This window comes from Homo sapiens, chromosome 7, assembly GCF_000001405.40.
Source record: "Homo sapiens chromosome 7, GRCh38.p14 Primary Assembly".
NCBI lineage: Eukaryota > Metazoa > Chordata > Mammalia > Primates > Hominidae > Homo > Homo sapiens.
The window spans coordinates 27200100-27214960 of record NC_000007.14 but is presented as its reverse complement, the minus strand read 5'-3'; the positions used below and the strand labels follow the sequence as shown (position 1 = coordinate 27214960).

At 51.6% G+C, this 14861-nt stretch overlaps 1 long non-coding RNA gene across 1 annotated transcript, besides 8 other annotated features; it reads right to left on the bottom strand.

Moving 5' to 3' along the window:
- Positions 559-1307: an enhancer, noted in NCBI's record as "H3K27ac-H3K4me1 hESC enhancer chr7:27253273-27254021 (GRCh37/hg19 assembly coordinates)". NCBI's record gives its function as "activates a minimal SCP1, AML or CMV promoter by ChIP-STARR-seq in naive H9 embryonic stem cells {active_cell/tissue: H9 hESC(naive)}" and the evidence as "EXISTENCE:reporter gene assay evidence [ECO:0000049][PMID:30033119]".
- Positions 1308-2057: an enhancer, noted in NCBI's record as "H3K27ac-H3K4me1 hESC enhancer chr7:27252523-27253272 (GRCh37/hg19 assembly coordinates)". NCBI's record gives its function as "activates a minimal SCP1, AML or CMV promoter by ChIP-STARR-seq in naive H9 embryonic stem cells {active_cell/tissue: H9 hESC(naive)}" and the evidence as "EXISTENCE:reporter gene assay evidence [ECO:0000049][PMID:30033119]".
- Positions 3613-4113: an enhancer, noted in NCBI's record as "H3K4me1 hESC enhancer chr7:27250467-27250967 (GRCh37/hg19 assembly coordinates)". NCBI's record gives its function as "activates a minimal SCP1, AML or CMV promoter by ChIP-STARR-seq in primed H9 embryonic stem cells {active_cell/tissue: H9 hESC(primed)}" and the evidence as "EXISTENCE:reporter gene assay evidence [ECO:0000049][PMID:30033119]".
- Positions 4114-4614: an enhancer, noted in NCBI's record as "H3K4me1 hESC enhancer chr7:27249966-27250466 (GRCh37/hg19 assembly coordinates)". NCBI's record gives its function as "activates a minimal SCP1, AML or CMV promoter by ChIP-STARR-seq in primed H9 embryonic stem cells {active_cell/tissue: H9 hESC(primed)}" and the evidence as "EXISTENCE:reporter gene assay evidence [ECO:0000049][PMID:30033119]".
- Positions 7702-14540, bottom strand: HOTTIP (HOXA distal transcript antisense RNA). Its single transcript, NR_037843.3, has 3 exons — positions 14440-14540; positions 12323-14338; positions 7702-10249 (listed from the first exon to the last, which is right to left on the bottom strand). It is a non-coding gene; the product is annotated as an HOXA distal transcript antisense RNA (long non-coding RNA).
- Positions 9057-9779: an enhancer, noted in NCBI's record as "H3K27ac-H3K4me1 hESC enhancer chr7:27244801-27245523 (GRCh37/hg19 assembly coordinates)". NCBI's record gives its function as "activates a minimal SCP1, AML or CMV promoter by ChIP-STARR-seq in naive H9 embryonic stem cells {active_cell/tissue: H9 hESC(naive)}" and the evidence as "EXISTENCE:reporter gene assay evidence [ECO:0000049][PMID:30033119]".
- Positions 9780-10504: an enhancer, noted in NCBI's record as "H3K27ac-H3K4me1 hESC enhancer chr7:27244076-27244800 (GRCh37/hg19 assembly coordinates)". NCBI's record gives its function as "activates a minimal SCP1, AML or CMV promoter by ChIP-STARR-seq in naive H9 embryonic stem cells {active_cell/tissue: H9 hESC(naive)}" and the evidence as "EXISTENCE:reporter gene assay evidence [ECO:0000049][PMID:30033119]".
- Positions 11999-12523: an enhancer, noted in NCBI's record as "H3K4me1 hESC enhancer chr7:27242057-27242581 (GRCh37/hg19 assembly coordinates)". NCBI's record gives its function as "activates a minimal SCP1, AML or CMV promoter by ChIP-STARR-seq in naive H9 embryonic stem cells {active_cell/tissue: H9 hESC(naive)}" and the evidence as "EXISTENCE:reporter gene assay evidence [ECO:0000049][PMID:30033119]".
- Positions 12218-14861: part of a mitotic recombination region, noted in NCBI's record as "NUP98-HOXA13 recombination region recombines with sequences near or within NUP98 intron 12 of the nucleoporin 98kDa recombination region, but the exact location has not been determined", that runs on past the window's edge. NCBI's record gives the evidence for it as "EXISTENCE:nucleotide sequencing assay evidence [ECO:0000219][PMID:11830496]" and "EXISTENCE:Southern hybridization evidence [ECO:0000078][PMID:11830496]".

Genomic DNA, 14861 nt, shown 5'->3' with positions numbered 1-14861 from the left:
GGCCCATCCAGGTAGGGCCTCAGAGCAAAGCCACTTGCTCCTGGAGGCCTGAGTCTCTGGAAAGGTGGCAGAGAGAAAGGCAGACACAGGGGGTAGGAAAGAACAAGAGGTAGGAACCTGAAAGCTTTAGTCTGCACCTCCTGCCAGGGTCTTGCTGTTCCCAAACGTCTAGTTGCTGCATAACTAACCACCCCCCTCCAAGTCTGGGGGGCCTGGGAAACTTTGTTATGCAGAGGCACTCAAAGCATGGGGTTTACTTTGGGGCTGCAGCCACCCAGGAATCCTACTAGCCTCTTCCTCTCCTTTTCCCTTTGTAGCTACAGCTTGCACCTTCACGGGGGAGATTGGGAGTGCAAATTTCAGGGAACTACCCCCACCACTGGTGGATCTGAGGGCCCCAGACCCTAAGCCCCAGTAAATGTAGCCCAGAGGGATTCTCTTTAGATGATTCATTTGGAGCAGGAACAAATCACGTCTAGTGGGTTTTGTTTTTCCTCTCTGTGTGAGCGTTTCCCTCCCTGGGGTTTCATCATCCTCCCAGATCTTTCCATGTCCCCCTGTTCTCCATGCCCTGGGGCTGCAGCAGCGCTGCCAGGCCCCAGAAAATGCACCCTGGATCCCACACAAGTTTTTTTTTAAATGTGTCCCACACTACTCCTCGAGCGCCCAGTAGTTTGGTTTGGTTTTGTTTTAAATCATTGGCCTAAAACGAGTCTTAAAATCCAGTCTTTTTCTAAAGAGAAACGAGAGGACACAGGCCCGCGTTGCGCTGAGGGTCCCGGCAATGACTCCGGTGGGGTGCCTGCCCGCTTCCCGCAGAGAAGCCCTCGGGCAGGCGCCGGCAGCATCCTCTCCCCTGCGTCTCGAGGGCCGCCCTTGAGGAGTTTCATGCCCAGGGTCGCGGAACCAGTGGCTCCCCAGGCTGTCACCCGGGGTGAGCGCCTGCACCACTCTGCGGCCTTGTTGATTTTGTCCTAAAAGCCTGAGCGAAATGGAAATATGGGGGGCAGGGGTCTGCTGTTGGCTTGTGAATGCTCGCCTTTGTCCCTCAGGCGGTCGGCCACCAGCCTGGCATTCTGTCCCTGCACTGGTCACTCTCATTTGGCAGGCGGGGCCGCAGACTACATAGAGGAAGTGTGCCGCGAGTGGGGTTAGGTGCCAGCACGAGGCCTTACAAGGTTCCCGGATAGCCCTGGCGCACGCCTTGGCCATCATAGAGGAGGGAGGGGGACCTGACAGGGCGCGGACGTGCCGGCCCGAGGGTGGAGGCGGGGGTCCCCCATCCCAGCTGTTCTCCTGGCCCTGCAGCACCCGGGACCCGAAATAGCAAGTTCACCCTGGGTCACACTTGCGAGAACCAACCCGCACCCCACCCCAGAAAGGGCTCAGTCCGCACCTTTCGAGAACTGCTCGCGGGCCCAGGGAGTCGGCCTAGCGGTCACATTTCAACCTGGAGCAGCTTCGGAGGAGTTGAGTCTGGGGAGCAGGGGAGAGCGACCTGATTGGAAGGAGGGTGCCGAAGAGCCCTGGACAGCGGGAGTGCCCGACCCTGCCCAAGAAGGGGCCTGCCCGCGGCCGCGAGGGCTCCGGGCCACCAGCCTCAGCTGCCACCCAGTGCCTGGCCAAGACGCAGGGCCCGGCCTCCGAGGGCCGCGGGCACCGGGGACCTGCGTAGGCCTCTCCGCTGCGCTCCTCTGCGGGGCGCCCTCTCCCTGGCGCGCCTCTGAACCTGGCATCGAAGCCGCCCGATAGATACTTCGAACAATCCGGGAGAGAAAGAAAAAGAACTCAGTTTGCCCGCGTAAACGCTGCTAGTAACTCTCAGAAGTTTCCTGGTTTCTCGTAAAGGTGGCCGGGGCCGTTTACAGTAAGAACGGAATAATGTTTGCGACTGTACGACATAATTATCTCCAGACTTGCCTCTACCCCGCCCCCAGCTAGGGTTTTCACCAGCGAAAGCGGCTAATGCATTTGCACACATTAAACATCTTGAACGCATAATTACAGGCTGCAGACAGGCTGGACAATAAAATATCTCGGCTCGATATTTTTGGAAGCCTTTTGTGATGGTGCCTGGAATAAATAACAACCGCTTTCTATGTCCTCAGCCATCTAACTGCAGCCACCGTTATTTCAGAACACCCCCACCCCACCTCGGAGGGGCAGAAGTGGGGGACTTCAGCGGAAGGGTGCGGTCGCCTGAAGAGGTCTCCTGAGCCTCGGGTGCGTGTGGGCTTGGAGGACTGGAATAAGAAGAAAATATGTTCCAAGCCCTGAGGGCCCTCTTCCTCATTAGAGGCACACAAGTGGGGCCCTCTAGGCCCCACACCCTCTGGGCGCGTGCCCTCCCTGACTCCCTACGCCAAGACTAAAAAATTTGAAGACTCAGACCACATGTTCCTACCTCACAATCTCTCTAAAAAGAGCCTCTCTATACTGAACCGGCTCCTGTCACCTGAGAAATCTGCTGGAAAAGAAAGCTGGATATTGAAGCAGCAAGACCCAGAGGAAGAAGCTGCTGGTTAGTCTCTGGCTGGTTATTTTCTTCCACAGATGCCTGGGACCCTAGCTTCCCTTGAGTCTTAGTTGCTTTGTCTGTAAAATGGAGATGATTGTAATAACCTTGGGACCAACCTCACAGGTTGTTAGGAGGAAGCACTTAAAAATTTTTTTATTGCCATATAACTTACGTATAGCAAAGCATACAAATCTTAAGCCCCCAGTTCACTGAATTTTTATATATGTATACATTTGTGTAACTACTACAAAGATCAAGATAAAGAGTATTAGCAGCCCCCAGAAGGCCATGAAGAAGCACTATGAGAACTAATTTTAGACAGTGATAGTGTTATCTCTAAGTCAAGAGATCAACAGGTCAGTCTAGTATGTGGCCCTTGAAGACACTTGATAGTGTCTTCAAGACAAGAATTGACAAACCAAATATACATGTCAAGGGGCTGTGGGAATCTCTGGTCTGGAGGAGCATTTGTGGGCCTTTTCTGCAAACCCCTAGGCACTCAGGGATTGGGGGAAAATTGAAGATCAGGCTTTAATTCGTTTTGAGACAACGCATTCTCTTTTGTGAATGGCTGGGGCTGGCATGTTCATTTACAAGTTAGGGGTAAGCCCAGAGAGAGAGGCCTGAGAACCTCTCCCAGGGGATGGAAATCTGAGTTGATGTCCGTAAGACTAAGATTCAAGCCTTGGGGTAACTTATTTCAGTGTTCTCCCCTGAATCCAAGGCTGGTATGATGTGTGGAGGAAATTCCCCAAAGGAATATGTGGCCATGAGATACATAGGGTAACCAGTTTTCTGAAAAGTATAACCTCAATAGCTAATACATACAATTGGTGCACTTCACAAACACTACAAAAAGATTTTATAGAAAAAAAATTCTCTACTCAGATCCTCTGAACACCAGTTCTTCCCAGGGGAAGCACTGTTACTGATGACTTGTCTGTCCTTCTAGCCCTTTTGTACATTCCTTCTTTTTTAAAAGCACAGTGGTAAGCTCTCACTACATATGCTGCCCTGTTCTTGGAGCTTTTCCTAAATACTGCCCATGACAATTCTCCATGACAGGTATACTGGCTCAGAAAGATATGCTCATCCCAGATAAAATTGAAGCCAACCTTGTCTAGCCTGACACACAGAAGGGCTGCTTTAGCCTGGGTTCTAGATCCTGGCCCACAGTTAATGGGTTTGGTGACCTTAAAAACAGTCAGCTAACTTGGCCGCAACATCATTACCAGCACCCCCTTTCTCCCTAGGGGAGCAGAGCCATGGGGAGGAGGCAATAAGGCACTGACCATGACTAGACCTTCAACCAGTTTCTGGAGTCAGGGGAAATTGAAAGTGCTTCTTGGAATTTTTAACTATTCTGTCTAGCAGCTATAAAAACTGTGCTCAGGTCATTAGCCCACCCTGAGTGTCTACCTCCGATCCCATTTCCTTAGTCCTCTTTGGAGCTCGATGGGGTGGCCCTGGGCCTGGCCCCCACCCAGGCCTGACAGAGGCAGGAGGGTATGGCGGGGGCCTAGGGCTTTGCCCCAGACCTTGGACCCCGCAGCGTCTGCCAGGAGACGTCGGAGGAAACGCTTTTACCACCTGGGCGACCTTGACTGCAGCCGATTAAAGTTTAATCCGAGGTGTGTGCTCAGACTTGCCATGTTATTTAAACACATCAAAGGTCATAAAAAGATTCCAATGGCGTGAGCCGCTCCGACGCGGGCCCGCAGGGAGCCAGCATTTGATTCTGGTGGATTTCCAGAGCCAGGATTTAGAGCGCAGGGCGGGAAGGGGAGTATAGGAAAAAAAGGGAAAAGCCAGCTTTCACAGAGGAATGCTAGACTTCAAAAAGCGGCAGGGGAAACCGAGTCTCGGCCCGAGGAGCAGAGACAGCGCCCTTGAGTTCCGATTAACTGGGAAGACATCTAGTGGGAAGAGGTCGCAACTGCAGCGGTGTCCTGCGAGCATCCTCCGCCGCCGCCCACAGCGACTGCAACCTCCTGGATTGGATGGGGGTGGGAGGCCTCAAAGAGAAGCCTCTCTCTCCCTGGCCTCCCCGTCGACAGTGGAGTGCTTACTTTATTGCCTGCGTGATTGCAGGGCTGGGTCTGGGTTCCCACCCAGGGCAGAGACGCTATTTCCACCTTGACAAGAAAGATCTAGCTGTCCACCGAAAGCACAGGGCCCAGGATGCCTGGATTCCCATCTAACTCTTCCTGGGGCTCCTGATCCTAATGCGGGCAAATCCCTGGAGCGCCCATATGTAGGTTCTCCTGGAGGGTGCAGAGTGGCTCTGGGGACCAACAGATTGCTGCAGAAGTTAAGTGAGTCCAGAGGCTGGCATGCAAAACCGCTGGAGCTACAGACTGCTGCCCACGAGGCCTTTGGCAAAGCACAGGAGCCTAGCTTCTTAGGATTCGAAGGTGACATTTTCCCCATCTCTGCCGTGGGGCCATCTGGCCAGATCTGATCCTGGCTGCCTTCTTGCATCCAGATTCTAATTTCTGTGAAGGATTGGCCTCTCTCACAACCCCATGGAAATGAGCCCCACATATAGAGAGCTGGCTCTTATCTGAGCTCCTCTGGCCCCACCAGCACCTCCTAACCTTATGGCCAAAAGATAGAGAATTCTGTGCAGGCCTCTCCATGTGCCTCTGAGATGCTCACTGCAGGTTCTCTATTGGGTGCCTTCGCCTGCTTCAAATGGGGTCCGCCTTGTAGGGGTGTGCCTCCTTGCTGACCACTTTGGCTGAGTCTGAGTCTGAGTTCTCTCCTTCAGTCTTTTTTTTTTTTTTTTTTTTTTTTGAGACAGGGTCTCACTCTTTCGCCCAGGCTGGAACATAGTGGTACTATCATGGCTCACTGCAGCCTCAACTTGCTGGGGATCAAGCAATCCTCCCACCTCAGCCTCCCCAGTAGCTGGGACCACAGGCACATGCTACCACACCTGGCTAATTTTTGTGTTTTTTAAAGAGACTGGGTTTCTCCATGTTGCCCAGGCTCTCTCAGTCTATTAGTTGTGGCATTAGATCATCCTAGAATTGTCAGGAAGAGTGGCACCAGTATACTCCTTTTGGGAATGATATAGAAGGCCAAGGAACCATGCTCCACATTTCAATGTATGAATCCCAGGACATTGTGGAGCCCCCACAGGCAGCTCTACCGATAGAGTTTCCAGGGCTTCTGTAGGAGGCCCCCCACCCTGTCATGCTCAAGTCTCTGGGACCTAGCATCGGCCAGGCCTCTGGGAAGCGGCCTCTTCCTTTTCCATTTTACCCATCAAGTTGCCTACCCATACTCCTCCAGGGTTCGCACTCTCCCTGATTCTCAAATGAAGGCTTAAGGGACCCTGTTCTTTGGCTTTGTTACACAACCCCCTACAACCCCCACCCCCCTTGAAAAAATGGAAGAACTGGAAATAGTGGAAGAGGCCATTCTAGCAAATGCCTTGAAGCCCTTCACTGAGACATTAGCCGTCTCTTATCACTCACAGAAGTGTTTCCCCAAAGGGGTACAAGGGCTATGACTCCTTCTGTGCTCCCACCAATCACCTAATGGCTGGATAAACCTCAGGTAGGAAGACTCCGTTGTTTTATTTAATCAGCTACAGACTATTAAAGTAGCAGTGGGTAAGGGCTAGGGGAAGAAAGGACTGCAGGTGGGCTAACCAGATTTAGCTTCAGAAAAACTGAGACCCAGATCATGTCACAAGTGAACCTGGGATCCAAGGGCCTGGATCAGTCCAGGTCACATGCTGAGTTCCAATGGGCTGCTGTGTGAGCTTGGAGCAGAGCTGATCCCTTAATCCTCTCAACCTGAGACAGACAAACATACACACACACACACACACACACACACACACACACACACACACACGATCCAGAAAGTCCCCTCCCAGCTCACCTGGTTAGGCCCACACTGGACCCCTGTCTGGATTCCACACCCCCAGCCAAGCAACCCTGCTCTGCTCCCAGCAGAAATCACAGGGACTTCTATTCCTCAGGGTGACAAACGAGTCTGCTTGCTCTTGGTGACATCAAATTACTTTGCACCAGCCTAGGGTCCCATGACCTGACATAACCTCACATTAGATCCTAGAAATGTAAAGAAATATGGCCTTTTAAAAGTGGCTGAGAGCAGGTAATTGCTAGCAGGCTTGAAGGGTTGTCCCAAGCTCAGCTCGCGACCTCTGCCTCCGAAGCTGATACCAGCAGGAATTCATGCGTTTGGACTCTCTATGGGCAGAAGGTCGAGCCTGCATTTAACTCTGGACAATAATCAGGTTCTTAAAGCCCAGATTGTTTTTGTGCAGTTACAGAAATCACAGGGAGGCTTTGGACCTAAATGGCAAGGAACACTCGACAGTGGCACCGCCCCCACTGCCCCCCAGCCAGGCTTCCACAAAGAACAGGCTTCAGCGGAGAATGGGCTTCTGCTAAGCTTTAAAAACAGGCCTTCTTTGAGCTGCTGTAGCTTAAATTTTTGTGGAGAATTACAGTTTCATTGCTTCTTATTCTTCTCCCTCCCATCTCTCCCTTCCTCTTTGTCTCCTGGCTTGTCTGTGGCTTCTCTCTTCCCCTCTCCCTCTTCCTCCGAATTGTTTGACTTCTGCAGTCCCCACCCTTACCCTGACCCGAGCCCTCACCCCTGCGGTGAACTCCATCTTAGGATCTGGAGACATGGGACCCTTAAACCCACCACTGTGCCCAAGGCTTGGTAGGAGTCAATCTTGCTGATACCCCACAGACAGTGGGCAGAGAGCTCATGGCTTCTGCAACATATAGTTGGAGTCGTTCGAGATTATTGTAAAATATGTACACACACTTTCTTCTCTTTTTTAATTTACATACCCCTTATGAGTTTCATCAAATAGCTCTTTTCTAATACCATGAGAATTTATATGCTTAGTGTAAAAGCATCCCAGATATTTAATCACTACTCAAAAAAATTAATTAAGAAACCATAAACAACCCAAATACAAAATACTGCCATAGAAAAGATGATCAGTATCCACTCAGACAAGTGGGGTTAGAATTTATTAAGCAGCCGGGTAGTGTAAAAGTTGTCAAATTCAACCGTGTGCTATTTTCTGTTTTTACCTTTTTGCTTTCTGAAGTTGCCAAGCCTTTCAGTTAAGTCACTTTCAGAGTTCGACAGGGAGAATCATGCTCGTTGTAAATGAGACTACCAGATTAAAACAAAAGAAACCAGAACATCTTTATTCATTCTTTTTTAAAAATAATCCCTTATTGCTAGGGGGATATTTTCAACGCATGGCATTGAATTTCTTCCTGAAAACTGCGGTTGCTCTGATAAGCCATCAATTCAGTGCAAACTTTCCTAGTTTAATCATTAGAAATTTCTTTTGTGTTTCTACCAGGGGAGAAGTTGTGCTGAAATGAAATATAGTCATTTACCCACTAATAAGTGAATATGTGTTAATTTAGGACACACTAAGGACTGAGGTATGTTTTTTGTGTTCCTCCATAATTCTGATGCAGCAATAGAAATTTTCTATTAAAGGACGATTCTCTCATATAAAAAAGTAACATAAATCTTCCTCTTTCATATGTAATTTTTAGAAAGATGAGACAAGATTTTTAGGCAAGATGGGTCCACCCCTCAAACCCCTTTTTTGTCCAGCTTACTCCTGGGTGAACCCTCAAGCTTTTTCTAGAGTTTCATTGCAATAACCCAATTTCAAGCCCTTTTACTCAATCTTGAAATATAACAGATCTTTGAAATCCTATGGTGGGGGTGAAATGATGTGATGCTATCTGGGATTTACTTTAAAATACTAAAGATAGAGAGAGAGGAAGTGGATAATAAAACACTGAAGATGAAATTATAATAGGGGTCAAAACTTGGAGATGGGTACCTAGGGGTTTGTTATGCTTGTGTGTGTGTTTGACAAATTCCATAATAAAAGGATTTTTTTTTTTAAATTGTATCGGGCAAAGGTGGAAAAACTATCCCTGCCAAAGGGCTACCAAAAAACAAAAAAGTGGTCTGTTGGTTAGCACCTGTAGTTGCCCATTCCTAATTCTTGATTTCCAGAAACAGAAAACGACCTTGCTCCCTTTTCATTTCTCTGGAGTCAGCGGCCAACCTTGATGCTTTCTTTCCGGCAAACTCCCTCTCCCAACCCATAAACTGAATATCTAAACCCAAGGTTGGAGTATGATTAATGGAACTTCCGTACTCAGCTCCCCTCACCAGAGTGTAAATACCCATACAAACTAATATCAAAAGTTCTTACTGAGCGCTTCGTTTCCCTGAGAGCTGGGCCGAACGGGGCTGGAGCCGCGGGACAAAGGAACCGCGGCTGTTCCTTGAAAAGTGCTGGGTGCTCTAGACCCGCTCAGTGAGAGTCCCTGGAGCCAGACGGAGGTTCTGGGGAGGACATGCGAACCTGGCAACGCCAGTCCAGGACTCACCTTCCACGGAGGGCAGGTGTATTTACCAAGCCACAGGAGAGGGAATGGTGAGGGGTCGGAAAAGTAAGAGTGAGTAAGGAGATGCGCCAGCGAAGTATGTCACCAGCCTGGTCCGACAGGGTGAATTTTTTTTTCGTAGGGCTGGGTATGATGCTTGTATTTCACCCACATGACATTGGATGCGCACATTCACTCTGTGTGTGTATGCACGTTTGATGCGTGAATATGCGTGCATATCAAGGCACACACATCGTTATGATTACAGCATATAAAGTGCCCATAAAACTCTGATCACACCTCAGTGTGTACTTGAAGGGGTCCTGAGTTCCCCTTCCTCGTCGCTGCGCTGGTGAATTTCCTTCCCTCCGTCGCGTTGTGCATTAAGAATTCGCAGCTGGGAACAGGGCCGTGGGAGTTCTTAGGAGTCTAGGGCGAGATGGACCCCCGCGGGCCCAGGCCGCCTGGCTGCCTGCGCCGCTTTCTCAGCGAGAAAGCCGAGCCCGGCGGGGCCAGGCTTACGTGCAAACCCCCTCCTTCCTTCAAACGCTCGAAGTCTTCAGTGTATTTGTTGACTTAAAGAATGCACTGCCCAGTCCTGGTTTCCTGTTTTGTTGCGGGCGTAAGCATCAAGCTAGGGTGGGGTGGGCGCTCGCGGGTAAAATTCCTTTGGGCCAGTGGCAGCGTCGGGTACAGAGACCCCTCGTCCTTTTCCCGTCGCAGCCGCACGGAATTCTCCGGGCCGTCCCGCGCTCGCCCAGCGCCCCGGCTGAGTGACCCGCAGGTCACTTCCTGGGTGGCACGGGCCCCTGCAGTCCAGCAAGCCGGTGTCCCCCGCGGGCTGGCCGCGCACTGCGAGAAGGCGTTTCCTCCTTCCAGCCGAGCCCTTCACCAAGCTCCCTCTGCTTCTAACGCATGCTCCGGTCCTTTCCGCGAAGGCTGTTTCCAGCTCCAGTGAAGAGCGATCAGTGGCACTGTCGGGGAAAAGAGCTCTTCCACCACCACGGCCGCTGCCGCGGCTGCCGCCGGCTTCGGAGTCACTTAGGCCTCCCAGAGCCGAGTTTTGGAGGACGGAGTTTGCGCCAGCTCTGAGGAGTCCGGGCGCGGCTGGCCAAGGCTCTGCAGTGGGAGATGCTCCTCATGGGAGTCTGGAACCTGGTTGTTCTGAAATGGTGTGTGTGGGGTGGAGGTCTCCTTGCTCAGGGACTCTCTGGGGGAAACAAGGCAGGGCTGTACTCAAATTGGAGTTTTCCTTGGGCTCCTGCCGTCTTTTCTGAGTCCCTGTGCACTAGTGGCTTTGTGGTACCTGAAAAAACAAAACAAAACAAAAAACTCTACAGGCAGCAGGAGAGCTGCTCCTCCAAAAACCTGCTGTCCTTGAGATCCACCCCATGAAGGGATCTTAAAGGCAAAGTGGGGGTCCCTGTAGATCTTCCTGGACCTTGCACTTCCACTTTCACCATGTTAACATTTGGTCACCACAGTGACAATAGCCCAAAACTATCCCACAGCCTCAAGCCTTTTACTGCCTTATTATTGTTTCAAATGCACAAAAATCTGGAACAAAAGGTTGAGTGAGTGACTCGATGCACCATTTCCCTGTCCGCTGGCCAACTTCAGCCCAGATCTCAGGACCTACCAACCCTTTCCCCTTAAGAAAGAGGGTACAGCTTCTACCTGATGGGGACACTCAAAATTCCCTCCATAAGCAGAGCAGTCCCCCACTTGCTCCTTTCCCAAATGATCTGCTCAAGTTTGGCTTCAGAGGTGCTACACTGTTTGACGATTTCGTCTTTTCTCTTTCTCTCTCCTCAGCCCCTCAACCAGTTTTTCCTCTGGATCTTTCTTCCTTTGCCATTATCTCTGTGCCCCAGCCCACCTAGGGTGGGAGAGAGAGGGTTAAGATGTTCTGCAAAAGTGGCTTGTAAAGCTGCTTGGATACATTAAAAGCACATGAATATCCTGAAATACAAAGTGTCTTTAGAATCAACCAAGGAATGTTTATCCTAGTGCTGGATGGATGCAAAGAAATAGTGCCAGGGAGCAGTGCTGACAGCCTCCTCAGAGTTAAAGTGAGAGCAGGTAAATTTCATTTGCTAATGAAAATCAAGCTCGATTAAAACCTGGTTTCCCTTTTTCCTTTTCTTCTCCAATGCTGGGAGCCCAGAGCCGCGTGGACCAGGCTGGCATCCAGTTCCCCACCCAGAAAAACCTAGCTGCGGTTTTTTTCTTCAGTGAGAGGTTTTTGGGCAACCAGTCCCTGCAGGGCACCCTGGCCTACCCCAGGAAGTAAGAAGCCTTGTCAGCCAAGGCATTTTGGAACACTGAGAAAGGCTCTGGTGATTCCTGAAATAAAGGCCGTGCTGCAGAAACTACCCTCCGGTCCTGCCTGCACTGCCCTCTCAGGGCTCCTCCGGGGAAATCAGTGCACCAGACAGTACCTGGGAAGTGACTGCAGCCTCTCCCACCTCTCCCACCTCTACTCATGCAGCCCTCTGCTTGGCTGTCATGCCTAAGGTGCCACCGCTGCCGGCCGATCCTAGTGGGTGCCCTGGCTTCCCCAGTCTAACCCAGGAGGAGCCTGAGAATATAAAATTATCAGGTTGAAGGTGCCTCTGCAATCCTATAGGAATTCCTGAGCCTGGAGAACAAAAAATCAGAGGGACAGACAGCTCAGAAGATCAGGACCCACTACCTTGGCAGGCAAGCAAATCTTGACCTTGCCGTTGGGAAAAGAGGAAAAATGCTAGGAGGGTCTGTGCTTGCTTCCCAGAGCACACCCGTCTCAATCGTCCTCCAAACTTTCTTTTGCCACAGCAAGTCAGTTTGTTGGCTGCCTGGCAGGGAAAGAAATCATATTGGGAAACATTAATAAATATCTTATCTCCCTTAGCAGAAGACAGGGAAGGAAGATTATTCTTGCTTAAAAGTGAGTAGAAATTCTGAAACTCAGACCCAAATTATTCAGAGCTCGTTCTCCTTCTATAAACGACCTCCACTGATTGGTGGCTACAACTCAATACTGACAGGACATGCAGACATTTGAAAACAGTGGGGCATGCCAGGACGCCATGGACATGTCTGGTAGAAAAATAAGATACATGTTGAGATCCAAGACAAGAAGAGAACAAGCAGGGTGCCTTCCTCTAAATAAGCATGTCTTGAGAGGGGTTTTTTTTTTTTTTTTTTTTTTTTAATGATAGGGACACATCGGGGAACTAAAAAAAGTCCAGATAAATTTGATCAATAAGGTGCACCATAAATCTCAAGAATTCAGTCCCCAAGCTTTTTCTTGGCGAGAGCGCCACATTTAAGGAGCAAAGCTTAATTTGAGATGCAATCCAAAGCCTTCCCCCAGCACCATCCCTCTCAGACAAACCTGCTTGTGGCTCCTCGGCCGACAGATGAAATCTTGTCTCACCATTTTTGGTGAGGAGGGACCCAGTCGTCTGTGGAGCTGAGACCCTTTCTCTGCGCGCAGGGTTCGGGGCTACGGTGAAGTGGGAGGGGGAGGGAAGAATGTGGAGCTGGCCTTGGCCGCCGTGTGCACCGGCAGCTGCGCCATGGCCAGAGGTGAGCTGGCACAGGCGCCGGCTAGTGGGGGCTCCCCAAGCTGTGTTTTCGTTTTTCCGGGTCTGGCCGGAAAACCGAAGAGGCTCAAAGCCCTGGCTGAGCAGGGCGGAGGCAGAGAAGAGTCGGTAAACACCGCCCCAAAAACCCCACGAAGGCACCAAAAAATTCTGGGCAGCCGAACAGAGTCAGAGGCGAGAATTTTAAAAAGAGAGAGAAAATTAAGAGTGAGGGGATGTGGGCAATGGGCCTTTTGCTGCTGCCTGTGTCTCTACGCTCGCATGGCAGTTCTCATGCTGGCTGGACTGCAACTTTCAACTTGACCTTGGCCTCCAGCCGTGTCTGACCAGTATGTAAAACCGCCTTCAAGTCCCCAGGAACAGGGGCCTAGAACCCTACTCTGTCTCTTTGTCACTGTGAGTTTTACAATGCCACTTGGAGGGAGGAAGGGGGGTGGTGAAACGGCCAGAAAGTAACAGAAAAATCAAGTCCCTACAGAGGCTAGTTCCTGAGTCTGCAAATGGCCAGTCAGGGAGAAGGTAAACTGGGGGCAAATCAATATTTACCCAGAACTGCTAAAAAGTCAAGAAGGAAAGGGCACACTTGGTGGGGGGGTGGCTGGTGTGGGGGTCATAGAAGGTTTTATTGGGCGACACTTACATTGGTCAGGACAAATCCAGGATCAGGACAGATAAAAGCCCAAGCCCAGCCACATTGGTCTGGATCCTGCAGGAAGCCCAGGGGCCTTAGACAGCAGATGGTGGGGTGTGTGTGAGGGGTGGTATGCGTGCTGCTCTGAGTTTAGGGCTGAGTGTGCAAGCTAGGAGCAGAGGACAGGTCCAAGCCTGGCTTCTCACCAGTCCGCCTGGGGTGGAAAAGAATCCAGCACTCTCCCCAGCACTATTCCGGTAATGTGCCCACTTTCACTTTGAACGCTTGTTCCTCTTCTAGGCATCTGACCAGCTCACAGTAGTGAATCAGGAAGTGGAAGTATGTGGCTCTAAAGCAGCAGGACCCCCAGAACCCCTCGACAAAACATGGCAGCTACAAGACGGGTCGCTGCTTGGTTCTTCAGCACCAACACCCTACCATGCTCCCAAGAAAAGGTTGCATTTCCCAGGCACAGAGGAAAGGCTTCTTGGACTGGTTCTTGGGCAAAGAAGGACTAGGCACCCTCTGCAGGCTGGAGATCCTACTTGAGGGGAAGGCAGGAAGTGGCCCCAAAGAGCCCCTTTTTCTTGTCCCAAAATAGAGTGAAATAGCGGGTTCCCAGATTCCTGGAGAGTCAGGTCCGGTCCACAAAGAAGCGTGGCTTTAGGGCCCAGAAGGGGGGTTTAAGTCCCAGCCAGAAGCACAGCTGGGGCTTGTTCCTCTTAAGCCCCTTCCAGAACTAAGCCAGCCATACTGGCGAGGTGGGAGCATGGATGAATGGTGCACAGGGATCGCTCGCTCTATCTCAAAGTCTCTGGAGGAGGAAGCGTTGTTACCAGGTCAGAGCAAGGATCAGGCTGTATACCTAAGTGTGCGAATGTGAGTGTGTCAGTGTACACTGTGTGTGTGTGTGATGAGTCGTTCTGAGTCTATGGGTCTAAATGCAAACATATGAAATTGCTCACTAACAGTGTGGACAGGGAAGGGATAGGGGCTCCTAAATGCAGTCCAAGCCTCCAGTGGAATGTCCTGGGACCCAGGCATATCCGCAGGAACCGATAAGCAGCAAACACCCTGCCACTGTTTCCCTGGAAAGAGCAAAATCGCAACTCCATCGAAGCCGAAGGCGCCGATGTCCGTCCTGTGGTCTCACTGCAGAAATACGCGCCGGTTCCTGGAAAGAAAACAGTCCCAGAGGCTCCAAGAAACACCCATTCTGAGCTAGGCTGGTCCCGTCCTCCCCACTCTCCCATCCCTGACCGCCGGCAGAATTACCTGACCTGTCCCCACTGCTCCAGATCGCAACCCAATCGCGCGCCCACCTCCCCTCCCCGCCTGGTTGCGCGGGTCTGGGCCCCACTGGGATAAAGGAAGGGAAGGGGGGCGGAGATGGGGCCGCCTTCCTTCCCTGCCCCACCCGCACGTTCCTCCGCCTCTCCCCCGGGTGAATGGTGCGCGGCCGCGCGGCTGGCGCTGGGGACGGCGCGGGCCGCGGCGGGGACGACGGGTGCACCGTGCAGAGCTGGAGTCGGAGCCGCCCGCTTTGCATACGCCGTGGGCGGAGCGGGGGGGCCGGGCCAATGGGCGGCCGCCTGGCGCGACCCCGCGGGGCGCGATCCGCCCCCCTCGCTCGGGCCCCGGCCCCGCGCCGCGCGCTCTTCACTTCTTGGGGGCTTTTTAAAACAGCGCCACTGGGG